The sequence below is a fragment of the Homo sapiens genome, chromosome 12 (assembly GCF_000001405.40).
Source record: "Homo sapiens chromosome 12, GRCh38.p14 Primary Assembly".
In the NCBI taxonomy this organism is placed as follows: Eukaryota; Metazoa; Chordata; class Mammalia; order Primates; family Hominidae; genus Homo; species Homo sapiens.
Genome location: NC_000012.12, coordinates 41,017,451 through 41,032,413, shown reverse-complemented (window position 1 = coordinate 41,032,413; position 14,963 = coordinate 41,017,451). Strand labels below are relative to the sequence as shown.

The window sequence follows — 14,963 nt, the reverse complement described above, 5'->3', positions numbered from 1 at the left end:
AGCCATCTTTCTTTCTTTTTTTTCTTTTTCTTTTTTTTTTTTTTTTGAGACGGAGTCTCGCTCTGTCGCCCAGGCTGGAGTGCAGTGGCGCGATTTCGGCTCACTGCAAGCACCACCTCCAGGGTTCACACCATTCCCTGTGAGCCATCTTTCTAACAGGAGAGTTATATGATTTGATTTGTGTTTTAAAAAACCCCCCTGTCTATTGCATAGATAATAGGCCTTGAGAGGCCAACACTGGGAGGCAAGAGGATCATTAGAATTGCAGCAGGGCCAGGCAGAGATGTGGAAATATGTAAATCTTAGCACATTTTAAATATGTGAACTGTGATTGCTGTATTGTAGGCATTTAATGTCTATTTGTTGAATGAATGAATGAACAAACAGCATAATGCTTATAAACATTAAGATCTAGTAGTGTGTTATAATCCTGGCTACGTATTTAGGGCATGAAAACCAAAAGAAAGTACTAAGAGTCTTTTAAATTTAGAAAAAAACCTGTAATTTCTGTTTGTATTTACACATTTGCCTCATTAAAATAATTTAAATGATTTGAAAATCCAAACTTAAAAACAAGAATATTCTAGAATGGTGTTATTCACCAAGCATCTGACATTTCATAACGTTAATTCTACAGTTTATTTGTACAGTTATGGTCAGAATAAGAGATAAATAATAGAAATTCTAAAATCAATAAGAATGTTGTCCATTAGTTGGCAAAAAGAGAAAAATATGAAAAATATCCTAAGTTTGGGATTAAAAAAATACTCTTCTATACATGAGCTATATATACTGAAATATCAAATTACAGCTGTGGTATGCTGAAATCAACCGATACAACCCCTGAAATCCAATTGTTAAATTTTTAGGAAATGTATGAGCAATGTGTTAAAAATGTAATTATTAAAATAGAATTTATGTAAACTTAAATTTAAAAGCTTAAAACAAATGTAGTAAATACTCAAAACCCATCATTTCTTAATATTTTACTATATTATAATGTTGTCAAATGTTTTTTAGGTTCTTATTATACCTGTATGGTGGCAATTACATATAATGATGTGCTACTGGGTAGCTCTTCACAGCTCCATATTAAGTGACATCACTTGGAAAGCTTGAAATCACACATAATGAGAATATTTACACCACAGAAACAGGCAAACATTATAAACAGGGCTTTCCCCTATCCCTAGTGATTCTACTGTTTAACATTTACCAGTGCCATTAGTGATAGGTAAACTGATGTTACCATCACTGCTACATCATCTCTTGCTGAAAACCTCTAGTCTAAATCCCAGAAGCTAGGTTCTCCTTTCGGTGAGGAATGATGAACCAAGGGTGAGTACAGAGAGCAAAAGCTCGCTGTGGCTGGCTTCTACACAAGAGAAAGAAGGCCCAGGGTTCAAGAGCAATTTATTTAGTTATTTGTGCTTTACCTTCCTTGAAATAATGGCCATATTTCCCTCTGATTTCCTTTTGTGAAACTGCCCACTAAGTGTAAAACTATTGAAGATGTTGACAAAGTTCTGAATATAGAAAATGTTTCAAAAATAAGAAAATTCTATTTTCCCCTGTCAAATTAGCAATGACTAAAAAGACAATAATATTAGAGTGGTACAGTGAGAAAAGCACTTATACTCAATGATAATAGGAATAGAAATTAGTAAGTGTTTTTGAAGAAATTTAGCAACCTAAAACACTTTGTCTTAAATTTAACCAGAAGAAAGATTAATTTATGAAAATGGACTCTAAAAGTATTATTTATGATAGAAAAAAACTTTAATGAGTTTGCATATTTGTTTGAAAGAATATCATTTATAATTTTTAAATAATTTACAAAAATGGAAGCTGAAACATGAAATTATATATGTATACAGAGTGACTATAAGTAAATTCAACTAAGCATTAACAGTAGCTATTTTAGGGTATTTGGAACATGATTATTTTCTTTTCCTTTCACATCTCTGTAATTTCTCTATTTTCTTAAAAGACAAAATTGCTGATGATTAAACTAAAAAAAATCAAAGTTCTATTTTGATTTGTAAAGGATGTATATATGTATTGTGGCAAACTTCACAAAAACATGGCATACAATTGAAGCCAGCATTTATTAAATACCATTAAATACTCTGGCATTGTGGTAAAGGATTTTTTGTTGGTTTAATATATAGCATATTTATTTCTTTATATCAAAATCACCAAATTTTCAATTTTCTTTTTTTTTAGTTTTCTTAAAATTTAACTTTTATTTTAAGTTCAGGGGTATATGTGCAGATTTGTTATACAGGTAAACTTGTGTCATGGGGTTTGTTGTACAGATTAACCAAATTTTCTTATAAATTATTTATTATCATCTTTGTTCTAGGATCTTCTGGTAATGTCAAAGCCTCTCATACATTTCTCAAATTAACATCTATTGAAATTCAGTATAATTAAACTATATCATGCATATAGGTTAAGAAAAATATGTCAAAAATTAAATAACAGATTGCCAGAAATAAAAAAAAAGAAATGACTGCCTCAAATATATGTATTTCCAAATCAAACAAAGGTGTGAGAAATAGAGTTTGTAGAAAAGGAATAGATAAGATAGAGAAAGAGAAAAGACAAAGGGGCTATAATTTAGTGTTTTTCTCTTTTACTACTATATCAATATCTATAGTCCAAGTGAAAGAGTTATAAGAGTATTAAAAATAGCCTAGTGTATTTCCTTTTGATAGAAGTTTGGTTATTATTAAATAATAGCCTAGTATTATATAGTATTCAATAAATTATGCCATTTTAATTGTGCTTTTTATTTGAAAATATTTAACTGACAAAGATTAAATATATTCAAGGTGAACAACATGAAGATTTGATATATGTATACATTGTATAATGATTACCACAATCAAATAAACTAATATGTTCCATACTGTATATTGGATCCCAAAAACTCGTTCGTCTTATGTCTGAAAGATTTCAACTGTGCTTTGACATCCAGATAATAATCAAGAAGTATGTGGTATGTCACAGACTTACTTTTGTGACTCATAAGAGGAGAAATACCAAGTTTCAGGGAATCCTTGATATGTCCAATCTACTTAGGAAAATATGGACACTGGTGTATCAGGCTTATCCCTACCCTTGGGAATCCACAGGGTCTAGAAACTCACAAGTACTTAGTTGAAATGTGTCTTAAATGACTCACTTACCTGAAATTTTGACTTGAGACACCACTCCATCTCCTCCATCACTGTGCGCGCGAACCTCCACAACGTATTCTCCATCTCTGGGGATTGGGACTTCTATGGAGTGTTTGTGAGTTGAATACAGCTTGCCATCATGCTGGCCATCAGGTCTGTAGAGTACCTTATAAAGTACAGAAATGTAAATATGCAGTAAAGTCATAATAATGAGCCAATGCTCTAACACTAAAACCAGAATAAAAATGCTTATACTTTGATTAACAAAAAGTAATAAATTTAAAACAAGAGGAAAAACTAAATTTAAAACTAGATGAAAAAAATCATGTTAGTTTCAATTCACAATAGTTGATTTTTGCAAGTTTGTAGGATTATCCAAGGAGATGTGACTTAAGCATCTGAATTTTATTTTTTGAGATGACCCAAAATAAAAATATAGAAAGAATGAGTCTTTTTAAGAAAAAAGTCCAAAATGAGAACTTTTAAAATATATTGAAATGGTCTGAAAATTGTCTCTCAATTTTTATTTTTACCATTTTCCATAAAATTTGGTATCCAGTGAAAAATGTGATAGTGTGTGATATAAAGAATATATTTAAAATAAGCTTTTCTCCTTTTTATTCATTTATAAACAGTAACTCAGTTTATCAAGGAGTTTTCTGGGTGCTGGGCAACCCTATCATAATCATTGCCAAACAAAAATAGTTTCGTTCTCTCTCCTCCTTAAGCTCTGATTATTCTATTTTATCTTTAAAGTATTCTACTTATCTTACACTTTTGACATAACATTTTGCTGAAATTCACTGAAGATAATGTTTTCCATTTCAAAATGTATCATGGCACTACGTTATCTGATTCTGCTCTACAACTATTAAATAGAATAAGAAAGTTGAATGGGGCCAGCCGTGGTGGCTCATGCCTGTAATCCCAGCACTTTGGGAAGTTGAGGTAGGTGGATAATTTGGGGTCAGGAGTTCGAGACCACCCTGGCCAAGACGGTGAAACCCTGTCTCTACTAAAAATACAAAAATTAGCCGGGTGTGGGTGTGGGCACCTGTAATCCCAGCTACTTGGGAGGCTGAGGCAGGAGAATCACTTGAACCCAGGAAGTGGAGGCTGCAATGAGCCAAGATTGTACCACTGCACTCCGGTCTGGGTGACAGAGCAAAATTCCATCTCAAAAAAAGAAAAGAAACCCATCTTGGGTTTCACTGAAATAGCAAGAATTGCAAACATTAATCATCACTATTTGTATATACCTTATATCCCGTCACTGTAGATTCATTTGATAGTGCAACGACATGATCCCAGGTGATTATATAGCGTGAACCAGACCTTACTGAACTGATGATCCTTGGAGGCTGGCTAGGAGCTGTGAAAAGTAGTAATATGCAATCAGTGGTCACTATATCCAATCTCAATTCTGCATACTCTATTGCATCAGGTATTATAATGCTGATGATAATGACCACCACCATCTAGTTTTAATAAGTGTTTACTATATGCCAGGCACTATGCTAAGCACTTTACATCCATGAGTCCATTTAATGTACCCCATGGCCCTGTGAGCTAGGTAATATGACTTTTATTCTCTTCTCATCATGCTCCACTTGGGTTTCTTTCTCCACTAGTCTTTTGAAATTGCTATTTGCAAGGTCATCAATCACCTCCACTTGGTTAAATCTAATGTCACTTGATTATTCTTTTTTAAATTTAACATTTTTGGAGCATTTCACAGAATTGACCATCTTCTTTCTTGAATCTCTCATTTTTTCTTAAATTCAGATCTTAACAACTGGGTTTTCCTTCTACCTCATGGGCTGCTGCTTCCCATTATTCATGCTTAGCTGGCTCCCTCTGTCAACTTGTAACTGTTGGATGATTTAGGACTTCATCTATGTACCTTTTCTACTCTCTCTGTGGATCTTCCCTAAGTACTGACACTTAGGCCCATGGCTTTAAATATTCACAGTTCTGTCTCTAGCCCTAATCTCTCTTTCAACCTCTAGACATATGTGGCTATAGGTCTCTCTGTCTAGGCAGATATCAGCCTATTTCTACTTGAGTCTCTAAAAGATTTCTCAAATGTAATATAATCAAATGTAATACATTTTTCAAATGTAATATAATGTCGAGTATCCTCAAATCTTTCTCCAATGACTCTTTGCCATCGTCAGCAAATGGCACAACCAACCCCCTAGTTTCTCAAGCAGAAATTTGGTATTTAGTCTCTCATCCCACTCATTGCCAACATCCAAATTGGCAGCAAGTTGTCAACTCTGCCTACAGAAAACTTTCCACTTCTGTCTCCATTTTCACTTAGTGCTAGCCACTATCAATTCTCTCCTTGACTGCTGAAATAGTCTCCTAACTGGCTTTTCTGCTTCCACTGTTAACCCACCACAATCCATTTTCTGTACAGATGCCAGAATGACTTTTTTAAAAACAACATCATAAATTAGATATCACTCTCTGTTTTAAAATCTTTCAATGGCTTCTTATCATGTTTAGAAAGAACTCAAACTCATCACAATTACTTACAAGGTTCTCCGTAATTGGGCCCCAGAACACTTCCCCCTCCTTACTCAGAACCTATGCCCTGGACCCAGTGGCCTTTCCACACCTAAAATATTTTAAGTGCTCTTCACCTTAAGGTTTTGTACTACTTAGAGTGCAAAGAACCTTAAGGCTCTGCCTAAAGCTATTCACATAGTGGGTTCTTCTTATCATTTATCACTCAAATCATAGCTTAACTGGCATCTTCTCAGAGGCCTTTCCTGGCCACCCAATCAGAATTTCACTTTTATCTAAGTCACTTTACTTTTGTCTATTTATTCATTTTATTGCCCTGTCAGCTGCTTTAATCCCACTTATTTATTTGTCAGAGTTTGTGTTTGTTTGAAGTTTCTATCTCATTTCATTAGCTTGTAAACCATGCGAGAATAGCACCTTGGACTGGTTTGATCCCTTTTGTATCCTCACCATCAAGAATAGTGCTGAGCACACAGCATATTTTTGATGAATGAATAAATACATGAACAAATGGAAAAAGAACAAAAATGAATGCTCCTTTTACAAATTAGAAAACTGAGGTTTAAATAGGTAATTTATCTATTGTCATACATCTAGCAAGTGGCAGAGACAGATCTCAAACACATGTTAGACACCAAATTCTAGTTCTTGTCACTACATTCTGTCATCTCACTGGGAGAGTCTCTGTCCCAAAGTGAATTTCATAAATTTTCACACTCTAATGGTAATCACATCTTCAGATTCTTGAGACATTCCCTAGAGTCCTACATAAAAATTCTCCTTTTTACTTATTCCACTTGGGTTCAAGAACAGAGATATCAAAATGAACCCAGAGAGATTAGAATGACCAGAACGTGAGCAGGGATAGGCGGTCTTGTTTTATGAACCACCTAAAACATACAGTACTAGAACATACAGTAATAAGAGAGTAAGCATAATGCTACACACTTAACTTGCATTGCACTGTGCAATGACAGAGGTTTATAAATTAAAGCATGTAAAAATAAGCAGAATTTTAGTTTTCACATGCTGTTGATGTACTCCTATGAAAACAATGTTTAAATTAATAAGTACAGGGTAAAGACAAGTTAATGGCACAGAATTTGAGAGGACAGCCTTTACAAAAGGATAGTTCTCTAACTTTATTTCTATAATGGAATATTTAACGTGTGAGGGTATTTTTCACATTTTTTCATCATCTACAATAATTCACGTTTTAAGGGAAATCTTGTGTGGCTGTAAAGGATATTGAAAAATGTGCTCAGGTAGCTAGGTAGGAAATTTCCTTCAAATATATTCGTATCATGATTGAATCCAGTGGTAGTTTTTGACAAGTCTAAAAACAAAACGTGAGACTCACGTGCTTTCTTGGTGAAAGCCTCAATCATGTCACTTGGAGGTCCACACCCTGCACTATTGCAGGCCCCGACTTCTATAAAATACTGGGTGTCTGGCAGAAGGTTCTCGAGCCTGGCCGAGTACTCTTGGCTGGTGACTTGAACTCTGTTTGCAGCTTCTTCTTTGTCATGGGCAGCCCAATACCGAATCTGCAAACATTCAGGATGAGTTATATTTTGCCATGATTTAGAGTCTTCAGCTATGAAAAGTTCTCTTCAACTGGTTCTATTACCATTGGTGTTGGCTGATCATCATATTTTCAAATGTTTCTTAATGATATCTACCCTTTTATCAGCCTTAGAATATAGTAAAGCATACAGGGCAGGAATGACTAAAGATGCCAAAAGCGAATCAAAGTCTTACTTCATTGCCCAAAATTGTTTTACATTGACTAAAAAAAATAAAAAATAAAAAATTTAAAAATCCCAAAAACTTTGAAGCAGACTTACTTTCAAAATATAAAAGTGGTCTCCATTTGGAAGTATTTGTCACTATAATTTTTATCATTTATTTCCTGTTTTACTTCTGTTTGCATGATTTCAAACTTCTTCTGAGCCATTCTTAAAGCAGTTGGAGAGGAATATAATTTTGCTGGATAAAAATAGTTACTATGTGGCCTAGAATACGCTAAAGTAATACTTTCTTCTGCCTCCTTTCAGAAGTATCTAATGTTATTTCCTTTGAACCCATATAGAAGCTAGATATCAAAGAAATATATCTAATAACTGGATAAACTGTAGAAATTATTTACCCATAAAATAATTTTTAAAAAAGTTATCGATTTTTTCATTAGAAATGATTACTTTTGTCAAATAATTACAGGATTACTTTTCTCTTAAAGTTTAAGAAAAGTTATGGATTATAATTTTCATCTTTAAATAAAGGCTTTTTTGCATTCAAGATTTATAATTATATCTAAGGTATGAATAAAATGAATAAAAATATGTTATATGTAATATAAGAATAAAAAGAAAAGGATTATTTGTAACTATCCTGATATTTTACATATTTTAGATGCCCTGTCTATAAAATAACGGGATTGTAATTTCACAATTAACCAAAATGCCTAGATTAAAATGTCTAATAATAATATAATCCTGCATTTTTTATTTACATAAACATGTAAGAAACTATTATGAAGTGCAACAGGATGGCTCAAATTCACTTCACAAAAGTGAGGTTTATGTGTTGAATGAGCACATTTCTGGACATTCAGAAGTGGATGAATGCTTCCCTTTTCATCCCAAGCAGGGCAGCTTCAGAGGCACATTTATAAAACTCCTCAAAGGTCTCAAGGGATGGAGTACCAGTTGCCCACAGTGGTTGCCAACAAGACAAATAGCACGTTTGTATCTGAGCTCCCCTCTTTCCTGTTCACTCTGCCTTTTCCTCATACCTGCTTCCTAGGATCATATTGAAAACAAACAATTAACAACAATAATAAACAACCTTTCTCCACATCTTTGTTTGAGGCTCTGTTTCAAAGAGATTCAGACCAAAACGGATGTCTTCTCCAAAATAAGAAAATAAAGCACTTTCTAAGTAATCAGTTTCGGCTCACCATAATAATTTAAACTTTAAAAATATTTGAGTAGACTATACAGGATTGTTCATCTTTTATGATGACTGAAATCAGTCATCTGCATTAATCTCTAATTTAGGTGCTAAAGTTTTTGCATTCATTATTCCTGGTAGCCTATTTTACTCATTTTTGTTAAATTAATTAAGTGAATATTTTACCCACTGTGTGAGCAAACTAAGTCTTTTGTGGATTCCTGGGCAAGAGCCCAAAGTTCCAAAATGCCCTTGATAAGAAAGACTTCTTGTATTCTTCTAGCTTACCTACACTATAGAAAAACTCCCTGGGTATTAAGATTGAAAGTGGGGAGCTCTTTAACCAAGTAAGATAAAAAAATACTAAGTGACATAAACATTCTACTGAGATACACTTTAAAACCACAAGGGAAGAGATTGTCTTTAAATTCAATTGCTCACAATTCTCATTTGAAATGTCAGGAAATGAACCTTGAGATGGTGTCAATCAGGCAGGAGTCAGGGCTTTCCAGCTTTATATTTTATGTTTTCAATGTGCTGCTTTCTTTCTGTGTATCTTTATACACAGAAAAATAGAGATCCATCGTACATTTTCATGGGAAGTGCATTGGGGTATTGGTTTTCACCATCATCTATCTTGTTAAACCATTGGCTTCTCCCATCATATTTTAAAATGGAAACAATAACCACATTATAGTCAGTCAAGACCCCCCTCCCCCCTACCGGCCACAGTCACAGGAGCATTTCCTGCAGAACAATAAATAATATGGATTTTTCTCTTTTAAGTGTTCGTGCTTGTCTCTTTGATATCCAAGACCCTGTGTAAAAGGTTTAAAAGGATTTTAAGAAAGAATGAATGGGAAGAATAATTCTATGATTTACTTCCAGCAATTTTAATCAACCGTTCTCTGGAGAGGCAAGAACTAGATTAAAATCTGATTATGACAATTATTACTCAGACAAACATTTCTAATCCTCAAGTTCTTCATCTCTAAAATAGGGATAATAATAGTGTCTATCCTCTAGGGTTGTGTGGATTTAATAAAATGAGCTTAGTTAAGTGTTTAGCACAATAAGAACTCAAGACGTGTTATCAGTCTTTTCATCATTAACATCATCATCATCTTCCTCACTGCCATCAGCATCATCATCATCACCACCATCTTGGAATGCCCAATGACATAAACAGGGAAAATTCTTAAATACAGGTTATTTAATATCTTTCACATAACAGTTCTATGAGGCAGTGGTTACTTTCTCACTTTATAGGTGAGGAAACTCAAAGTTCAAATCAATTTTCTACAAAATTCTTAAGTGACAGAGCTGAAATATAAACCCATGTTTGCTCAGCAGCAAAGTGCATAAGTTTTTACTTAATGTAAGTTGGAAAAGGTCAGACATCTGTGAAACCAACTCCTCATGGTACATACTTTTCCCTTGAAATTATCATTTGAAAAAAATCTTCTTTGATAAAGATTACTTTTTACTGACTATGTGAAAATCCTTAATCAAGGTTTAGTTCCCAATTAAAAAAGCATATTTAATTTAATTATCATCTGAATCATTGGTTCCACTATGTTGCTTCCTACCTCTTATTTCTTTTGTCTTCTTCTTGTTAAAAGTAAGCAAATCGTCAATATATAATTCTTGGCATTAACAAAGATAATATATAATTTTCTAGCATGTTTTAAATAAAGTAAAATATGTCATATATTTGGCATTTTGACTCAATGATATGGGTTATATGTTAAATTATCCTTTTTTCAATATTTATTAGTTAGAAATAAATAATATAAAAGAAGAAAAAAATCCTGTGCTCCAAAATTTTACTTTCCAAGCTCTACACATTGATGTCTTCTCCCAAAGATACCTCAGGCGTATTTATTACAGGGGTTTGTAACATCTAGTGAATTTCTCTCTTTCCTACTAGCCGCAAACACAATTGTCAGGTTAGTAAGTTATGAATATTGGGTATTCTCAGTCTAATTATTCCCAGTCTACTCTTCTGTGTACTGTAATAAATTCAGCTGAACCCTTGCATAGATGATCTGAGGGCTCTTTAAGATCTTCCCAAATTATAACCTATTGTGTCAAAAAAAAAAAAAAAAAGCTTCCTGTTGGTCTGGGTGTGTCTGCTCAAAGCCTTGAGTTTCTTTTACAGCTACATCTCAGAAACATGGCCTTGAGAAAGCCCAATTGTAACATTTTATTTAATCATACTTCATTATTCCTATCAGTATTCAATTAATATCTATTTAGAGCCTGCCAGGTGCTCAGCACTGGTCTTGCATGGCACTGAGAATAGAACAATACCCTGCCCTCATGGGGCTAATATTCCATGGACAAGGGATAAGGGAGGGTGCTGAAGCTGAGAATGCAAGCTGGCTGGGGGAGTGGGGTGGGTGGAGAGGCAGCCCTAGACAGCACTCACTGAAAAAAAAAACAGGGAAGTCTGTGATGTGTGGCAATAAAACCCCGAACTTTGAATCAGACAACTTGAGTTTTAGACACTGCTCTGACACTTTCTGTAAGTGACAACTCAGGCAAGTTGTCAAATCTCTTTGGTATCCATTTGCTCATCTGTAAAGGAAAAACCATGTTAATTCCTTTGAATTTTCACTTCTTGCACTTAAAAATGTGAGATGATGATTTCACATTTCCTACATAACTCAGTCTAAATTGCATTAGCATTGTATTAAAGACCCTAACTAATCTCTCTAGTTTTGATTTTCCAGTTTTTACTCCCTTGACTAAGACAAGTTTTCTCATTTGCGTCTGACTGATTCTTACTGGTTCTTTAAAATTAAGCTCAAGGGAAGTTTTATTTGGGTCATTTTGATTGTTACTTCATAGATAACATAAGACATATTCGGTATATTTAAAATTGTTTACTTTGGAGGGACTTTTCGAAATGGAACTACTGACTCAAAGAGGATGACTATTTTCAGGATGCTTCTATAAATTACCAAAATGCTTTCCAAAAAACTTGAGATTCACTAGCTTTTTATGAGAATGTTTTCCTAAAAAGACCTTGGGTAATCATAAGTGTTATTACCATAGTTTTTATTTTGGCCAATTGTTTGCCAGGACTTAGGTTTCTTTACATCTCCCCTAGATAGGCCAGTTAGGAACCCCTGTTTTATTCTTAACAATTAACTTATATATGACCACAATACTAGACACAGAGAATAAAGTATTAGTTGCCACATAAATTAATGGGACATTGAAACATACAACACATTTGAAAACGTATGCTTATATATTTATGAATAAATGTATTTAGTTTGATAAAAATTTAACGTACCTGATAGCTTTCCACTATTTTTTCTAAAACATGTTCCCAATGAACAGATATCTCAGAAGATGATAAGACTTTTACACCTACTTCTGTTGGGGCTTCACTGGGAGCTGAAATTTTATGAGAACATTATATTATTAGTGAGATATTTACATTTAAGAAATTCGAATAGCATCATTTGCTATATGAATGATGTTGGACCATACTTTAATTTTAATGTTTCTAAAATAGCTTTACTATTTTCAAACTAAGTGCAATTATTTCATTACCTCTTCCTGTATTTTTCTAATGTTACTTTATTTTATGGCATTAGTGATACATGTGCACACACACATTCATTTACATAAATGTTAATATAGACATATACACATACACATTCCCACACACACTTTTACCAAATACAGAAAGCTTCATCAATTTCTATTACATCTGTGAGCAAAAAAAAACTATTTTTTTAATTTCTCTCAACTGATATGCTTAAGAAAGCCTGTTGATGCAAATTAAAATTATTAATATTTAGCTGTCAACTCTATATTATCAGAAATAGGAAATTTGGAATTATAGAAAATTGTTCAATATAATACATTTTCTCTTATTTGCTATTTGTGTGAACTAACTACAAACAGCAATATTATTAATAAAACTTCCCTTTTTATGTTCAAGCTAAGATCTTTAAAAAAAAATTTTTAAGAGCCTTTGAAACAAGTTGTAACATCCACTGTTTCCTGGGCTCAAGAAAGCTTTTATATGTCTAATCTTCCAACTGGGCATCAAGTCAAATATGTATCAAAAAGGTCTCTGTTCACAGAAAAAAAGTAACTGACATCCCTTATGAAATTTACACAAAGAAACCAATGAAGGCTTTAAGCAGGGGTGATCAATTTTTATTGTCTTTCATTAAAATGCCATAATCCTATTTAATGTTTAAAAATGTTCTACACATGAACACTGTTGACTTTCTAAAACAAGGCAAATGTGTAGCACTATGATTGATTTCTCAGCAGTGGAAGAAGAGATTAACACTTATACAAGTTTCAACACATGCAAGTTTTATGAGACTCATGAAATATTTAGGAAAGAAATATAATTAAATACAAATAGCCATGACTAAATAGATGACAAGCTATTTGCCTGAAAACTTATTTTAGCATCAAGTAAAGCAGTAAAAAGGTGAGAAGGTAACTTGTAAAATGCTTAAGACACTCATTTTATCTGTAAGATGTACTCGTTCTTCAAATTATTAAAACTGAGTGAAGTTATCATATTTCATTGTTGTTTTGTTTTGTTTTTGAGATGGAGTTTCGCTCTTGTTGCCCAGGCTGGAGTGCAATGGCGCGATCTCGGTTCACCACAACCTCCACCTCCCAGGTTCAAGTGATTCTCCTGCCTCAGCCTCCTGAGTAGCTGAGATTACAGGCTTGTGCCACAACACCTGGCTAATTTTGTATTTTTAGTAGAGATAGGGTTTCTCCATGTTGGTCAGGCTAGTCTCGAACTCCTGACTTCAGGTGATCCGCCCACCTCGACCTCCCAAAGTGCTGGGATTATAGGCATGAGCCACCACGCTCAGCCAAGTTATCATATTTCTGCTGAATGAGCACAAGCATAGAGAATATAAGTTTGTCATCAGGACTTTTCCACTGTTTGATAATAAACAAATTATTTCTACATTTTATTCTTTTGACATATTTGGTTGTGCTAACTTAAAAGTAAAAAAATACACACATACACATACACACACACACACACATATATTAAAATACACATACTTTTGTATGCAGTAAAAAATATAGTAAAAAGTATATATATAACTTTAAATATATACATATATACTTATATATACACACATATATACTTTAACATATATGAATAACTGCCTTTTATATTAAATTTTGTTATGTATATTTAAGACATATGACATGGTATTATGACATACATATATAGAATACAATGGTGTTTAATAAAAGTAAAGATCATAGGATGATTTAATTATATATTACATTTTTAACAAATACTAAAACTAATAATTCTGTGACCGATGAATATACGTGAGAATTTCTGTTGAGGTATAAGGCATGGCTAAATGTCTATCTTGGAGTGAAAACAATGGAAGTTGGGTGAACCAATAGAGCCCATTTCCTCTAATGATAGAAGAGTACCTCACACACCTTTAGTTTTCAAGCTCTTCTATTTGTGCTTCTCACACATGTGCAAAGAGAAACTTGGCCAAGGGTAAATGTACATTGCCAAAGATCAGAAGGCAATGACATCTCTATTTGTTTTTCTAGTCATTAATTATTTACACAGTGCACATGAATAAAGAAAGCTATTATTATTATTATTATTTTTTTTTTTTGAGATGGACTTTCGCTTTTGTTGCCCAGGCTGGAGTGCAATGGCCTGATCTCGGCTCACGGCAACTTCACCTCCCGGGTCCAGGCGATTCTCCTGCCTCAGCCTCCCAAGTAGCTGGCATTACAGGCATGTGCCACCAATCCTGGCTCATTTTGTAGTTTTAGTAGAGACAGGGTTTCTCCATGTTGGTCACACTGGTCTCGAACTCCCAACCTCAGGTGATCCACCTGCCTCAGCCTCCCTAAGTGCTGGGATTACAGGCGTGAGCCACCATGCCAGGCCAGAAAGGTATTATTTTTAACAAGAATATAAATAACAAAAGTATAGCAGCTTAAACAGAAATCAGAGAAAATAATGTAATTATGCTCAATCTAAAACTGTGTATCATTTGTATAAATATATAAAGTCTTCTATGACCATGGTTAGTTAAGTTAAAGTTTCTAGAAAAACAAAAAGAGCTGGTATTAGCATTGTTTTTTTCCTAAATGCCCTACAGGACAAATTTTTCCCTTTTCAAGAAAACAATTTCAACTGACCTCTTTTTCATATAATTATGTCTAGATTCCCTTTAACAAAATTTGTGTTCTGTATTGTAATAAAAAGTTACGTAAATGCTGCAATTAAACACATTTTTAGGTTAG

General features: G+C 33.6%; 1 protein-coding gene across 6 annotated transcripts in view; it reads right to left on the bottom strand.

Annotated features, from left to right (window-relative positions):
* CNTN1 (contactin 1) overlaps positions 1-14,963 on the bottom strand; it is a 379,977-nt gene that overhangs the window by 40,002 nt on the left and 325,012 nt on the right. For all 6 annotated transcript variants that reach the window (XM_011537926.4, NM_001843.4, XM_005268651.3 and 3 more), the window contains 4 exons: positions 11,974-12,077; positions 7,078-7,264; positions 4,445-4,557; positions 3,195-3,351 (listed from right to left, as the gene is read on the bottom strand). In XM_011537926.4, the coding sequence (XP_011536228.1) occupies positions 3,195-3,351; positions 4,445-4,557; positions 7,078-7,264; positions 11,974-12,077 (561 nt within the window). The remainder of the gene's footprint in view (positions 1-3,194; positions 3,352-4,444; positions 4,558-7,077; positions 7,265-11,973; positions 12,078-14,963) is intronic.